This window comes from Homo sapiens, chromosome 1 (assembly GCF_000001405.40).
Source record: "Homo sapiens chromosome 1, GRCh38.p14 Primary Assembly".
Lineage (NCBI taxonomy): Eukaryota > Metazoa > Chordata > Mammalia > Primates > Hominidae > Homo > Homo sapiens.
The window spans coordinates 482,077-496,579 of NC_000001.11; the positions used below are offsets into that span (position 1 = coordinate 482,077).

General features: G+C 51.6%; 1 long non-coding RNA gene and 2 pseudogenes across 1 annotated transcript; 1 reads left to right on the forward strand and 2 right to left on the reverse strand.

Moving 5' to 3' along the window:
- SEPTIN14P13 (septin 14 pseudogene 13) lies at positions 2,757 to 3,134 on the reverse strand (annotated as a pseudogene).
- On the forward strand, positions 4,979 to 8,743 carry CICP7 (capicua transcriptional repressor pseudogene 7; annotated as a pseudogene).
- On the reverse strand, positions 8,680 to 13,369 carry LOC100132287 (uncharacterized). Its single transcript, NR_028322.1, has 3 exons — positions 13,201 to 13,369; positions 12,916 to 12,973; positions 8,680 to 12,822 (listed from the first exon to the last, which is right to left on the reverse strand). It is a non-coding gene; the product is annotated as an uncharacterized LOC100132287 (long non-coding RNA).
- Positions 13,370 to 14,503: the final 1,134 nt, after the last annotated feature.

Consider the following 14,503-nt stretch of genomic DNA (forward strand, 5'->3'; position numbering starts at 1 on the left):
TGTTCACAATACAAATAAATGACAAATATTTGAGGTGATGGATATGCTAATTATCCTTATTTGATCATTGGGCATTGTATACATGTATCAAAATATCACTCTGTATCCCATGAATATGTACAATTATTTGTCTCAAAAACAAACAAAAAAAAGATAATGGGAGAATGTTGAAAACTCAGAGAGAAGAGCAACTCTCACAGATAGGGATCCAGATAACATTAGCAGCTGATTTCTCGGCAGAAACCTTGAAGGCCAGTAGGCAGTGGATTATATATTTAAAATAATGAAGAAACCTGTCAATTGAGAAATATATAGCTGGAAAACTTATCCTTCAAAAATGAAGGAGAAATTAAGACATTTCCGGATTTTTTTTTAAAACTGAAAAAAATCCATTTATCCCTGAATTTGACATTCAGGAAGTGTTAAGTCCTTCAGGTTGAAATAAATGAACTCTAGGCAATAACTATGTAAGTAAATAAGCAAGCTGTATGAATATACAAAGCTCTCTGGTAAAGGTAAATACATAAACATAAAAACAGTCCTATTGTAATTTTGGTTTGTAACTCTGCTTTTTATTTTCTACATAATTTAAAAGGCAAATGCATAAAATGTAATTGTAAATCTGTTAGCTGGTATACAATGAATAAAGATATAATTTGTCACATCAATAACATAAAAAGAGTAGAGCTATATATATAGCAGTAGAATTTTGGTATGTGATTGAACTTAAGTTGAAATAAATTCAAATTAAAATGTTATAACTCTAGGATGTTATATGTAATTCTCATAGTAACCAAAAATGAAATATATATAGAATATAAACAAAAGGAAATGAGACTAGAAACAAAATGTGTCACTACAAAAAAATCAACTAAAGATAAAAAAGAAATAATTGAGAAAATGATTGGCAAAAATCAGTAACTCTGACGTATTAAAACTTTCCATGCTACATAAATCTGAAAACTCTATTTCACATAAAACTGGAGCTGAAAGAAACAAATATTTACCTATAAAGTTAAAAGTTATATAGGGAACAAACACTAATTTTTTTTAGAAAAAATTATAAAAAGAGTAAAAATATGCCTTATACTACCGTAATTTCATGTTTTACAGCTCTGGGAAAATAGAAAATAAAATGTTCTGTTAGCATGAATCCCTCTGTGCCCCCAAAAACCCTATGGATTGCATCATTATTACCTAAAAAGTCTATTCTCAAATGCAGCAGAGTGATATTTTTTACAAGGTAGATATTAATTTTAGATATGGAATAATATTGGTGATTTCAATTTTATAACACTGGGTTAAGATGAAAGAATGAGAAGATAAAGGTCCCTCAGCAATATAACTCACAAACATGTTCAGAAGCAGTAAGAAGTTACATTAATTATCTTTTGAAAGTCGATAATCTACATCTTTAATGTATGCATATAGCATAGCTAATGTACTATCGCTGGGTCCATTTATTCAATGAATAATTGCCGCTATGTGTCAGACATTTTTCTAGGCCTAGGAATGGATACATAAGTGAACAAAGCAAAGATTCTGGTTCTTGTAGAGTTTCCATTAAAAGACCATTTAGTAAAACTTTTCTTCCCCCAAATTATAAAATCTGTAAGATGATTTAACAACATGTGTAAAAGTCATTGTGGGCCAGGCACGGTGGCTCATACCAGGTGTGGTGACTCATAGCACTCTGTCACCCAGGCTGGAGTGCAGTGGCACAATCTCTGCTCACTGCAACCTCTGCCTCCTGGGTACAAGCGATTCTCCTGCCTCAGCTTTCTGAGTAGCAAGGACTACAGGTGCACACCATCACGCCTGGCTAATTTTTGTACTATTAGTACAGACGGAGTTTCACCATGTTGGCCAGGCTGGTCTCGAACTCCTGACCTCAAATGATCCGCCCACCTCGGCCTCCCAAAGTGCTGGAATTACAGATGTGAGCCACAATGCCCGGCCTTATTTTCTACAACTTTGGTAACTTTAGCATATACCCCAAATCTGTAAGACATAATATTATAATTCAAATGCAACTCATGGCTTCTCTTTGTACTCTTTCTCTAGCTTTTGAATTATTTATTCTAATACCAGTTTTAATTCTGACACAAAATCATGGGAGTTCTAATCAAAATCCAACCTTTTATCATAAAAACTATGAAGAAATTATGAGTAGAATTTAAAAAGGAAAATAGGCCTATTAATTAGATTTGTCTTTGTAGCATTTAACTCTATAATAAATAATATTTTATGCCTATGAGTCCCCAACAAAGCCTCCAGCTTCTATTTAGATACAAACTGTAAAAGTCACTACTGGATCCACAAGCAAGACTATGGTAAATAAATTTCTCCACCTAACCAGCTTCTTTTACATGATGTTACATGTTTCTTTTGTTTTTTCATTTTGGCAAATATTGATTGTCATCTTCGTGTTTGTCTATGTCCTAAGTGCTGGGATACAGAATCTGAAAAGATGGACACAGGACCTGCCTTCAAGTTCACCCCCTTTTTTTTTTTTTTTTTGAGATGCAGTTTTGCTCTTGTCACCCAGGCTGGAGTGTAATGGTGAGATCTCTGCTCACTGCAACCTCCACCTCCAGGGTTCAAGTGATTCTCCTGCCTCAGCCTCCCAAGTAGCTGGGATTACAGGTCCCAGCCACCACGCCTAGCTAATTTTTGTATTTTTAGTAGAGACAGCGTTTCATCATGTTGGTCAGGCTGGTCTCGAACTCCTAACCTCAGGTAGTCGACCCACCTCGGCCTCCCACAGTGCTGAGATTACAGGCATGAGCCACCACGCCCTGCTAGGAGTTCACGCTTTAGTTGGGGAAAATATACAATAAGCAAGCCAGTTTTTAAAATGAGAACTGCAATTAGAGTTAAATGCTACAAAGACAAACTCACAGGAAGATGGGATGTAGAATGATAAGGCTCTCAGAATAGTAAGAGAAACTATTGCTTCTTACGATGTTTGTCTTTCTTTGTATCGGTGCTCAGCTGAGTCTGCAGTGCTTCAGAGGCAGCTTTCATTTTATAAAAATCTATGATTTCTCCTTCCAGTTGTTTTTTCTCTTCCTCGAGCTTCCTTATCTCCTCCTGTTGAATCATTTTAAGATGCTCGAACTTGTCCTGCAGCTGTGAAACCAATGTGCAGTTGTGACACCAAAGCAGTGTGGCTGAACACCTAAAAGAATACGCTTTTTTTCTGATTATCAAACAAACCCAAATCATCACAGTAGAGCACGATCTTAATAACAATCTCAAAAACTCAGGAGTAAACACTCAGATATGGAATTTTTCTTTTCTTTCTTTTTTCCTTTTATAAGATGGAGTCTCACTCTGTTGCCCAGGCTGGAGTGCACTGGTGCGATCTCAGCTCACTGCAACCTCCCTCTCCCAGTTCAAGTGATTCTCCTGCCTCAGCCTCTTGAGTAGCTGGGACTATAGGCATGCACCACCACTACAGGCGTGTGCCACCACACCTGGCTAATTTTTGTATTTTTAGTAGAGATGGGGTTTTGCCATGATGGCCAGGCTGGTCTCGAACTCCTGACCTCAGGTGATCCTCCCGCTTTGGCCTCCCAAAGACTTTTTTTTTTTTTTTTTAATATAGAGACAAGTTCTCAGTACGTTGCCCAGGCTGGTCTCAAACTCCTGAGCTCAAGTGATCCTCCCACCTCAGCTTCCCAAAGTGCTGGGACTGACTGGATGCAGTGGCTCATGCTTGTAAACTCAGCACTTTGGGAGGCCAAGGTGGGAGGATCGCTTGAGCCCAGGAGTTCAAGACCAGACTGGGTGATATAACACAATAGTCAACTTCAACAGGAGAGAGAATCTGTAAACTTGAATATAGATCTTCCGAAATTATCCAGTCAGAGGACAGAGAAAAAAAGAATAAAAGAGAGAAAAGAAGGCTGGGTGTGGTGGCTCAAGCCTGTAATCCCAACACTTTGGGAGGCCGAGGCAGGCAGATTAAGAGGTCAGGAGTTCAAGACCAGCCTGTCCAACATGACAAAGCCCCATCTCTACTAAAAATACAAAAATTAGCCGGGTGTGGTGGCACACACCTGTAGTCCCAGCTACTTAGGAGGCTGAGGCAGGAGAATCGCTTGAACCCAGGAGGCGGAGGTTGGAGTGCAATGTGAGCCGAGACCACACATTACACTCCAGCCTGGGTGACAGAGCATGACTCTGTCTCAAAAAGAAAAAAAAAAGAGACAGAGAAAAGAAAGCCAACAAGACACCATTAAGCAAACCATTGTCAGGTTATGGGAGTTTGAGAAGGAAAGTAGAGAAAGGAGAATAAAGCTTATTTAAAGAATGGCTGACAACTGCCTAAATCATGGGAAAGATTTAGACATCTAAATCCATGAAGCTTAAAGATTCCTAAAGAGGTTCAAACCAAATAGATACTCACCAAGTCACAATATAATCAAATAGTCAAAAGTTAAAGAAACTTTGCAGGTCAGGACAGAATCGAATAATACATTCAAAGTGCTGAAAGAAAAAAACTGCCAGCAACTAATACTATGTCTGACAAAGCTGTCCTTCAGAAAGGAAAAAGAAATAACGTGTTTCCTCGACAAACAAAGCTGAGGGCATTCAGGACCACTAGGTCTACCTTAAAAAAATGCTTAACGGAGTTTTTCAAGTAAAAATGAATGAAGTTGGGAGCGGTAGCTCATGCCTGTAATCCCATTTTGGGAGGCTGAGGTGGGTGGATCACCTGAGGTCGGGAGGTCAAGACCAGCCTGGCCAACATGGCAAAACCCCACCTCCAGTAAAAATACAAAAAATTAGCCAGGTATGAAGGCCACTGAGATCGTGCCACTGCACTCCAGCCTGGGTGACAAGAGTCAAACTACATTTCAAAAACAAAAAACAAAACAAACAAAAAAAACAAAACTTGAGGCCTGGCCTTCTGCTCCTCTCCAACCTCCCCTTCTCTGGGCCCAAGCCACCTTGGCTGAGGAGGGGGCGAGGAGGTGTGAGCCCCTGCCAGGAACCCCCTGCCCGGACCAAGTGCTCGGCCCCCAGGCCTGCGTTCAGTGAGGCCTCCCGTGGCGTCAGCATGTTCGTGTGGAGGAATGTGGAAGGTCACTCTGCGGCCGTGTTCTCCTGGTACTCCATCCCCTTCCTGACCCCTCCCTGCAGCCACACGAGGCCCAGCAACCTGCCAGTCACTCAGTGGCCTCCAACCAGAGAAAACAACCTGCCAAGTTGGCAGCCGTTGCTCATGAGCGTCCACCAGGTGGGACAGGGAGTGTTGACCCTGGGCGGCCCCCTGGAGCCACCTGCCCTGAAAGCCCAGGGCCCGCAACCCCACACACTTTGGGGGTGGTGGAACCTGGTAAAAGCTCACCTCCCACCATGGAGGAGGAGCCCTGGGCCCCTCAGGGGAGTCCCTGCTGGACAGTGAGACAGAGAATGACCATGATGATGCTTTCCTCTCCATCATGTCTCCTGACACCCAGTTGCCTCTACCACTCAGATGATGTCAGGCCCAGTCCCTCAGTGCCCTGCGCAAGGAACAGGACTCATCTTCTGAGAAGGATGGACGCAGCCCCAACAAATCAGACAAGGACCACATCCGGTGGCCCATGAGTGGCGCTCATGATCTTCAGCAGGCGGCACCAGGCCCTGGCGGGGCGCACCAGGGTCACCCCAACCAGGATAACCGGACCGTCAGCCAGATGCTGAGCGAGCGGTGGTACACCCTGGGGCCCAATGAGATGCAGAAATACAACCTGGCCTTCCAGGTGAAGGTGGCCCACTTGCAACAAGGACCGAAAGAAGTCCAGCTCAGAGGCCAAGCCCACAAGCCAGGGGCTAGCAGGAGTGTAACAAGGGCTCGTGGGAGCGGAGCATATCAGAGACGGGCACGGCCACTGCCCCTGGGGTGTCCTCTGAACTCCTGTCAGTTGCAGCCCAAACACTCCAGAGCTCGGATACCAAGGAGCAGCTTCTGTGGGGCAGAACGGCTGCACACAGTCAGGGAACCTGGCTCAGCCTGGCCCAAGCCTTCTCCCACAGCGGGGTACACAGCCTGGACGGCAGGGAAATAGACCGTCAGGCACTACGGGAACTGACACAGGTGGTGTCTGGCACTGCATCATACTCTGGCCCAAAGCCTTCTACTCAGCATGGAGCTCCAGGCCACTTTGCAGCCCCTGGTGAGGGAGGTGACCCGTGGGCAGCCCTGCTGCCGCCCACGTGAGCTGCTCATTCCCAGCACATGGCCAGCGAGGTCATAGCGAGTGACGAAGAGCACACGGTCATCCATGAGGAGGAGGGGGTGATGATGTCATTGCTGATGATGGCTTTAGCACCACCGACACCGATCTCAAGTTCAAGGAGTGGGTGACCGACTGAGAGTGGGGACAACTCTGGGGAGGAGCCAGAGGGCAACAAGGGCTTTGGTGGGAAGGTATTTGCACCTGTCATTCCTTCCTCCTTTACTCCTGCCGCCCCTTGCTGGATCCTGAGCCCCCAGGGTCCCCCGATCCACCTGCAGCTTTTGGCAGTCTATGGTCACACCCTGTCCTCCTCCTACACGTACTCGGATGCTTCCTCCTCAACCTTGGCACCCACCTCCTTCTTACTGGGCCCAGGAGCCTTCAAAGCCCAGGAGTCTGGTCAACGCAGCAGAGCGGGCCCCCTACGGCCCCAACCCCTGGGGATGGGGGCCCAGGGACGCCTTCCAAGGTGGCCTGTTTCCTCCCAATGGATCCTGCCACCTTCTGGTGCAAGAGACCTGAAAGTGTGGGCGACCTGGAGCTACCAGGCTCCTCAGTCATCAGGGTCCCTCCCAACACTAAGGCTTTCCTAGGCAGGAGCTGGGCTGAGCCACCCGGGGGGCAGAGCCTGAAGAGAAACTGACTGGGCTTTCGGGGTCGGGGCAGAGGGAACCCCACGGACATGGATCCCACACTGGAGGACCCCACCGCGCCCAAATGCAAGACGAGAAGATGCTCCAGCTGCAGTCCAAAGCCCAACACCCCCAAGTGTGCCATGTGTGATGGGGACAGCTTCCCCTTTGCCTGTACAGGTGGAGAAGCCGAGGACAGGCTCAGGGAACCGGAGACCGAGAAGGCGCTGTCCTCTTCACTGCACGTACCCTGGACCAGTGCCGGCCCTGATCATGCAGCTCTTCCAGGCCCACTGCTTCTTCCTGTCCACTAGGCCACAGCCGCCCTCCAGGCCCACTATGCACACATCTTCCCCTCCAAGGTTTGTTCTGCCCCTGCCCTGACTCCCAGCCCTGTGGGGGTCCTGACCGCACCTCACCTGGCTCAGACTCTTGACGCTGCCCTGGCTGCCCCACCACTGCTTCTGCCCGAGAGTCACGTGAGGCTGAGAGTAGGGGCAGGGGCAGCAGTGGTGCCAGTTGGGGGGCGGTCCAGTGGGAGGAGCCTCAGCCTCGCAGGCTGCTCCGTGGGACTGATGACTGCATGATCTTCTGGGCACCTCACGGATCTTCAACTGCAGGTGAAACGGATGCTGGTGGTGGGTGCAGGGCCGCTGGGAGCTGCTGCATGGTTCCCAGAGGCTGGACTGAGGCAGGTGCCAACTGAAGCTGCTAGGGCAGCATGGGCAGGATGTTCTGCACACAAACCTTGGAGAAGAAGATGTGTGCATAGCAGGTCCACTGCTGCTGCCCCTGCCCTGACTCCCAGCCCTGCCTGACCCCACCTCAACCTGCTCAGGCTCTGGCACAACCCTGGCTGCCCTGCCACTGCCTCTGCCCCAGAGTTGGGGCCTTGACAGCCTGGTTGGAAGGGGACACCCCAGCCCTGCCTCAACACCTGGGGGTCTCCATAACTACCACAGGCAGGTGGGCAACCCCAAAGATCCCAGGACTCACAGTACCCCCTGAGAACATGGACAGTATGTGGGGGTAGCAATGGAGGGCAGGATGGTTATCTTCTCCCAGGTGAAGCCATTTAATCCTTTCAGTTTGGGACGGAGTAAGGCCTTCCTTTTTTTTTTTTTTTTTTTTTTTTTGAGACCGAGTCTTGCTCTGTCGCCCAGGCTGGAGTGCAGTGGTGCGATCTTGGCTCACTGCAACCTCTTCCCGCCGGGTTCACGCCATTCTCCTGCCTCAGCCTTCCGGGTAGCTAGGATTACAGGTGGACGCTACCACGTCCGGCTAATTTTTGTATTTTTAGTACAGACGGGGCTTCATCATCTTGGCCAGGCTGATTTCGATCTCCTGACATCGTGATCTGCCTGCCTCCCCCTCCCAAAGTGCTGGGATTACAGGCGTGAGCCACCACGCCTGGCCAAGGCCTGCTCCTCTTATCTATACCCCCTACCCCTGCAGCTGTGCCGGGGGAAAGCTGGGCAGTTTCCCTCCTCCGAGCCCCTGTACATACCATGAATTGTGGGACCTTCAGAGCTTTTCACTTTTCGGAAAATAGCTCCTGCTGGGGCTACAAGATGGAGTGTGAAGAGGGCCTTGGGCCACAGGGAGGCGCCTGTGGACTAGGGGGAGTTCATGCACCCCTTCTTTCCCCAGAGGGGCTGGACTCAGGTGAGTATGGGGGTGGGGGCTCCTGCACTTCGACACAGGCAGCGGGAGGGTTTTCTCCCCATTCCCTCTGCACTCCCAACTTGAGCTATACTTTTTAAGAAAGTGATTCACCCTGCCTTTGCCCCCTTCCCCAGAACAGAACACGTTGATCGTGGGCGATATTTTTCATTGTGCCAAAAAGTTGCCATGACCGTCATTAAACCTGTTTAACACCAAATAATAAGGAAAATAAAATAAAAAATTCGGGCTTGGCGCAGAAACTCACTCCAAATAAATTACCTATCAAAATATTTACATAATGGTGGAAATATTCCAAAATTCAATATTTTGGGATTTATACACAAAAGATAAACAAATTAGAGGCCAAGAGGCTGCCGGAAGGGAAAAACGGGGCCTGGAATGGCCGACGTGAGGAATGAGCTGGGCCTAAAGAGGCCACTGGCAGGCAGGAGCTGGACCTGCCGAAGTGGCCGAAAGGCAGGAGCTTTGGACTGGGGAGGCCGCAGTGAGGCGAGAGCTAGCTGGGCGTGGAGAGTCTGCTGTGAGGCCGAGGCCGAGGCCGGGCCCGTGCAGGCCTTCGAGAGGCAGGAGGCCGGGCCTGCAAAGGCCGACTGGAGATCAAGTTCTGCGCCTGAAGAGGCTGCCAAAAGTCAAAAGCGGGGCCTGGGAAGGCCGCCGAGAGCCATGAGCTGGGCTGGGCCGAAAGAGGCCACTGGGAGGCAGGAGGAGCTGGGCCTGGAGAGGCTGACTCGAGGAAGTTTTGCACCTGGAGAGGCCGTCGAGAGGACGGAGCTGGGCCCAGGGAGGCCGACTTGCTGCTCTTCCAGGCCCACTTCCAGGCCGACTTGAGGACGACTTGGGCCTGCAGAGGCCGCCGGGAGGCTGGAGCTAAGCCTGGAGAGACTGACTTCGGGACGATTTGGGCCTGCGGAGGCCGCCGGGAGGCCCAAGCTGGGCCTAGAGGAGCCCACCGACCGGAGGCCATTTGGGGCCTGCAGATGTCATCGGAGGGCCAGGAGCTGAGCCTGGAGAGGCCACCGCGAGGCCTGAGCTGGGCCTGGGGAGCTTGGCTTAGGGAAGTTGTGGGCCTACCAGGGCCGCTGGGAGCTGGGCAGGAGCTGAGTCCAAAGACGTTGTTGGGACCTGGAGTCGGGCCAGAGTCCGGCCTGGAGATGCAGCCGGGAGGAAGAGCTGGGCCCGGAGGGGGCGCCGGGAGGCTGCAAGTGGGTCTGAGAGGCCAACTTAAGGAGGCCTGGCCTCTGCCTCCCGCATTGCCCAGCTGTTCCTCCTGGCTGCATCTCCCACCTCCCAGCAAACAAGCTCTTTTGGCTCAGCTCCCGCCTGCGTTTGTAGACCCCAAAGTTTCTGCAACCAAGCTCTTCAGACCCACATCCCTTCTCCCAGTGACTGAACAGTCCCAGCTCCGGCTGGAGAAGGGCGTCTGCAGACCCCGCTGTTGCCTCCCAGGGGAGTCTCCAGGCCCAGCTCTCGCCCCACCGCGACCTCCCAGGCCCAAGTCCCTGCCTACCTCCCAGCAGCCCGAGTGCGATCCTGTTCCTCCCTCACGGTGGCCTGTTGAGGCAGGGGGTCACGCTGACCTCTGTCCGCGTGGGAGGGGCCGGTGTGAGGCAAGGGCTCACACTGACCTCTCTCAGCGTGGGAGGGGCCGGTGTGAGACAAGGGGCTCACGCTGACCTCTGTCCACGTGGGAGGGGCCGGGGTGAGGCAAGGGCTCACACTGACCTCTCTCAGCATGGGAGGGGCCGGTGTGAGGCAAGGGGCTCACGCTGACCTCTGTCCGCGTGGGAGGGGCCGGTGTGAGGCAAGGGCTCACACTGACCTCTCTCAGCGTGGGAGGAGCCAGTGTGAGGCAGGGGCTCACGCCTCTGGGCAGGGTGCCAGAGGCATGAGTTGGGCATCAACAGGCCACCGTGAGGGAGGAGCTGGGCCGCACGCGGGCTGCTGGGAGGCAGGCAGGGACTTGGCCCCGGGAGGCCGCCGTGGGGGCAAGAGCTGGGCCTGGAGAGGCCCCTGGGAGGCAAGGGAGGGGCCTGCAGAGGCTGTTCTCCAACCAGTGCTAGAACTGTACAGGCCACCAGGAGGCAGGAGGTGGGCCCTCAGAGCTTGGCTGGAGAAAGTTCGGGGCCTACAAAGGCGGTTGGGAGCTGGGCAGGAGTTGAGCCAAAAGAGCTTGCTTACTTGCTGGGAGGCAGGGCCGGGAGAGCCCGACTTCAGGACAACTTGGGCCTGCGGCGGTCGCCGGGAGGCCCAACCTTGGCGTGGAGGAGCCCACCGACCGGAGACCATTTGGGGCCTGGAGATGCCATCGGAGGGCAGGAGCTCATCCTGGAGAGGCCACCGTGAGGCCTGACCTGGGCCTGGGGAGCTTGGCTTGAGGAAGCTGTGGGCCGACCAAGGCCGCCAGGAGATGGGTAGGCACTGAGTCCAAAGAGGTTGTTGAGAGGCAGGAATCGGGCCTGGAGACCCAACCAGGAAGAAGAGCTGGGCCCGGAGAGAACGCCCGGAGGGTGCAAGTGGGTCTGGAGAGGCCGACTTGAGGAGGTTCTGGGCCCGGAGAGGCCGCCGGAAGGGAAAAACTGGGCCTGGAAAGGCCGTTGTCAGGAATGAGCCCCATGGGCCTGAAGAGGCCACTGGCAGGCGGGAGCTGGGCCTGCCGAAGCGGCCGAGAGGCAGGAGCTTTGGACTCGGGAGGCCGCAGTGAAGCAACAGCTAGCTGGGCGTGGAGAGTCCGCTGTGAGGCAGAGGCTGGGCCTGTGCAGGCCTTCGGGAGGCAGGAGGCTGGGCCTTGTCGAGGCCTGCAGAGGCCACCGAAAGTCAAAAGCGGGGCTTGGGAAGGCCGCCGGGAGGCATGAGCTGGGCTGGGCCGAAAGAGGCCACTGGGAGGCAGGAGGAGCTGGGCCTGGAGAGGCTGCCGAAAGGCAGGAGCTTCGCCTGAGGATGCCACAGTGAGACACCATCTGGGTCTGGAGGGTCCACTGTGAGGCAGAGGCTGACCTGTAGAGTCCGACAGTAGACAGAAGTTGGGCAAAAGCCTGATTTGAGGAAGTTTTGGGCTTCAAGAGTCAGCCACGAGGCAGGCACTAGGCCTGGAAATGGCCTCACAGTCATGAGTTGGGCCTAAATGGGCCACTGTGAGGGAGGAGCTGTGCCTGTTGAGGCTGCTGGCAGGCAGGCAGAAATTTGGCCTGGGGCAGCTGCCATGAGGCAAGAGCTGGGCCTGGAAAAAGCCCCTGGGAGGCAAGAGCAGGGCCTGCAGAGGCTGTTCTCAAGTCAAAGCTGGGCCTGTTGATGCCACCGGGAAGCAGAAGGTGGGCCTGGAGAGTTTGACTTGAGGAAGTTTTGGGCCTACATTGGCCGCCATGAGCTGGACAGGAACTGGGCCAAAAAAGGCTGTTGTGAGGCAGCAGTTGTGCCTGTAGACCCAGCCAAGAGGAAGAGGTGGGCCTGGAGAAGCCCCCATGAGGCAGAGGTTGGGCCTGTAGACGCTGACAGGAGGCAGGAGCTGGGCCTGGACAGGTCAACTTGAGGAGATTTTGGGCCTTCATAGGCCACCAGGAGGCAGCAGTTGGGACTAGAGAGTCTAACTTGAGTAAGTTTTGGGCCCGGAGATGACGTCCTGGGACAGGAGTTGGGCCTGGAGAGGCCACCGTGAGGCATAAGCTGGATGTAGAGAGGCCAGTGTGAGGCAAGACCTGGGCCTGTCTAGGCTGCTGGGAGACAGGCAGGAATCTGGCCAGGGAAGGTTGCCATGAGACAAAAGTTGGGCCTGGAAAGGCCCTTGTGAAGCATGAGCTTGGCCTAAAGAGGCCACTGGGTGGCAGGAGCTGGGTGTGTAGAAGCTGCTGAAAGGTTGGGAGCTTGGCTTGGGGGGTCCACAGTGAGGTAGATGCTGGGCGTGAAGAATCTGCTGTGAGGCAGACGTTGGGACTGCAGAGGCCGACGGGAGGCAGAGGCTGGGCCTGGAGGGGCCACCAAGATGCAGGAGCTGGGCCTGGAGAGGCTGCAAAGAAGCATGAGCTGGGCCTGGTGAGGTCGACTTGAGAAAGTTCAGGGCCTGGAGAGAAGGCTGGGAGGCAGGAGCTGGGTCTAAAGAGGCCATTGTAACGATGGAGCTGTGCCTGTGGAGGCTGTTGTGAGGCAGTAGCCTCATCTGCGGAGGCTGCCGTGACGTAGGGTATGGGCCTAAATAGGCCATTGTGAGTCATGAGCTTGGTCTGTAGAGGCTGACTGGAGAAAGTTCTGGGCCTGGAGAGGCTGCCGGGAGGTAGGAGCTGGGCCAAAAGATGTAAGCACATTTGCATTTATTAGGCACTTTATTTCCATTATTACACTGTAATATATAATAAAATAATTATAGAACTCACCATAATGTAGAATTAGTGGGCGTGTTAAGCTTGTTTTCCTGCAACTGGATGGTCCCACCTGAGCGTGATGGGAGAAAGTGACAGATCAATAGGTATTAGATTCTCATAAGGACAGCGCAACCTCGATCCCTCACATGCACGGTTCACAACAGGGTGCGTTCTCCTATGAGCATCTAATGCTGCTGCTCATCTGAGAAGGTGGAGCTCAGGCGGGAATGTGAGCAAAGGGGAGTGGCTCTAAATACAGACGAAGCTTCCCTCACTCCCTCACTCGACACCGCTCACCTCCTGCTGTGTGGCTCCTTGCGGCTCCATGGCTCAGGGGTTGGGGACCCCTGCTCAAGTGCATCCAAAGCGACCCTTCCCACACCAGTCTTCACAGTGGTCAAGGGCAGCAACCACTTAGCTCCCAAGGCATGTGCCTCAGCTGGCATTTCGTCACAATCAACAGTAAGTGGTAGCTTGAGTCACTGTGAGGTCACCTACTGGAAATCACCAGCACCCCATTTCCCACTGGCAAAGAGCTCAGCACTGCCCCCTGGGAAACCAAACCTATGCCCAAATCCCATCTGTGTGGGTTTACCTCCTGGGACCCTTCCTAACATATTAGTCAGAGTCCAATCAGGAAGCATAAACCACTCAAAAGTTTAAAGTGGTAAAATTTAATACAGAGAATTATTCATTATAACAGGTGAACAGCATAATGAGAGATTGGCTAGCACAGAGTAAAGAGAACTCTAGAGAATATGGGACTAGCCCAGGCCAGGCATGGTGGCTCATGCCTGAAATTCCAGTAATTTCAGAAGCTAATGCAGGAGGATTGCTTAAGGCCAGGAGCTAGAGACCGGTCTGGACAACAGAGTGAGACCCTGTCTCTATCCAAAAGAAGAAAAAAGTTAGCTGGGGGTGGTGGTGCACACTTGTAGTCCCAGCTACTCGGAATGCTGAAGTTTGAGCCTGGGAGGTCAAGGCTGCAGTGAGGCATGATTATGCCACTACAGTCCAGCCTGGTGACAGAGCAAGACCCTGTCTCAAAGACCAAAACAGCAACAACCATTTACAGACAGAAAAGAAATAGAGCTAATAAGCTGAGGAAAGATGTTGAAATGTGACAAGTAAAGTAATATGAGTTCTTTTGTCTATGTAAAATAATCAAACAAAAAATGACTTACTAAATTATAATACCCTGTGCTGGCAAAGGTGCAGTGAAATGGGCACCTTCTTATACTATGAGGGGTGTTTAAATTGTGTATAAGCCTTCCCGGGTAAAGCCTGTCAATTTTTTAAAATAATGGAGACAGGGTCTCACCATACTGCCATACTGCCTCCTCCAACTCTTGGCCTCAAGCAATCCTCCTCTCTTAGCCTCCCAAAGTGCTAAGATTATAGCTGGGAGGCACCCAAAACCCTGTCAATTTACATCAAGGGTAAGGAGAATGTCCATTCACCATGACTCACAGTAATCTTACTTCTGGGGAGACAATTCAATCTAAACAAAAGGTCATCTGTACACACACAGTAAAAATCTGGGAGTAACTGAAGACAGAGTTGGTAAGTGAAATAAGAAACAGTTATAAGAAATTAAACT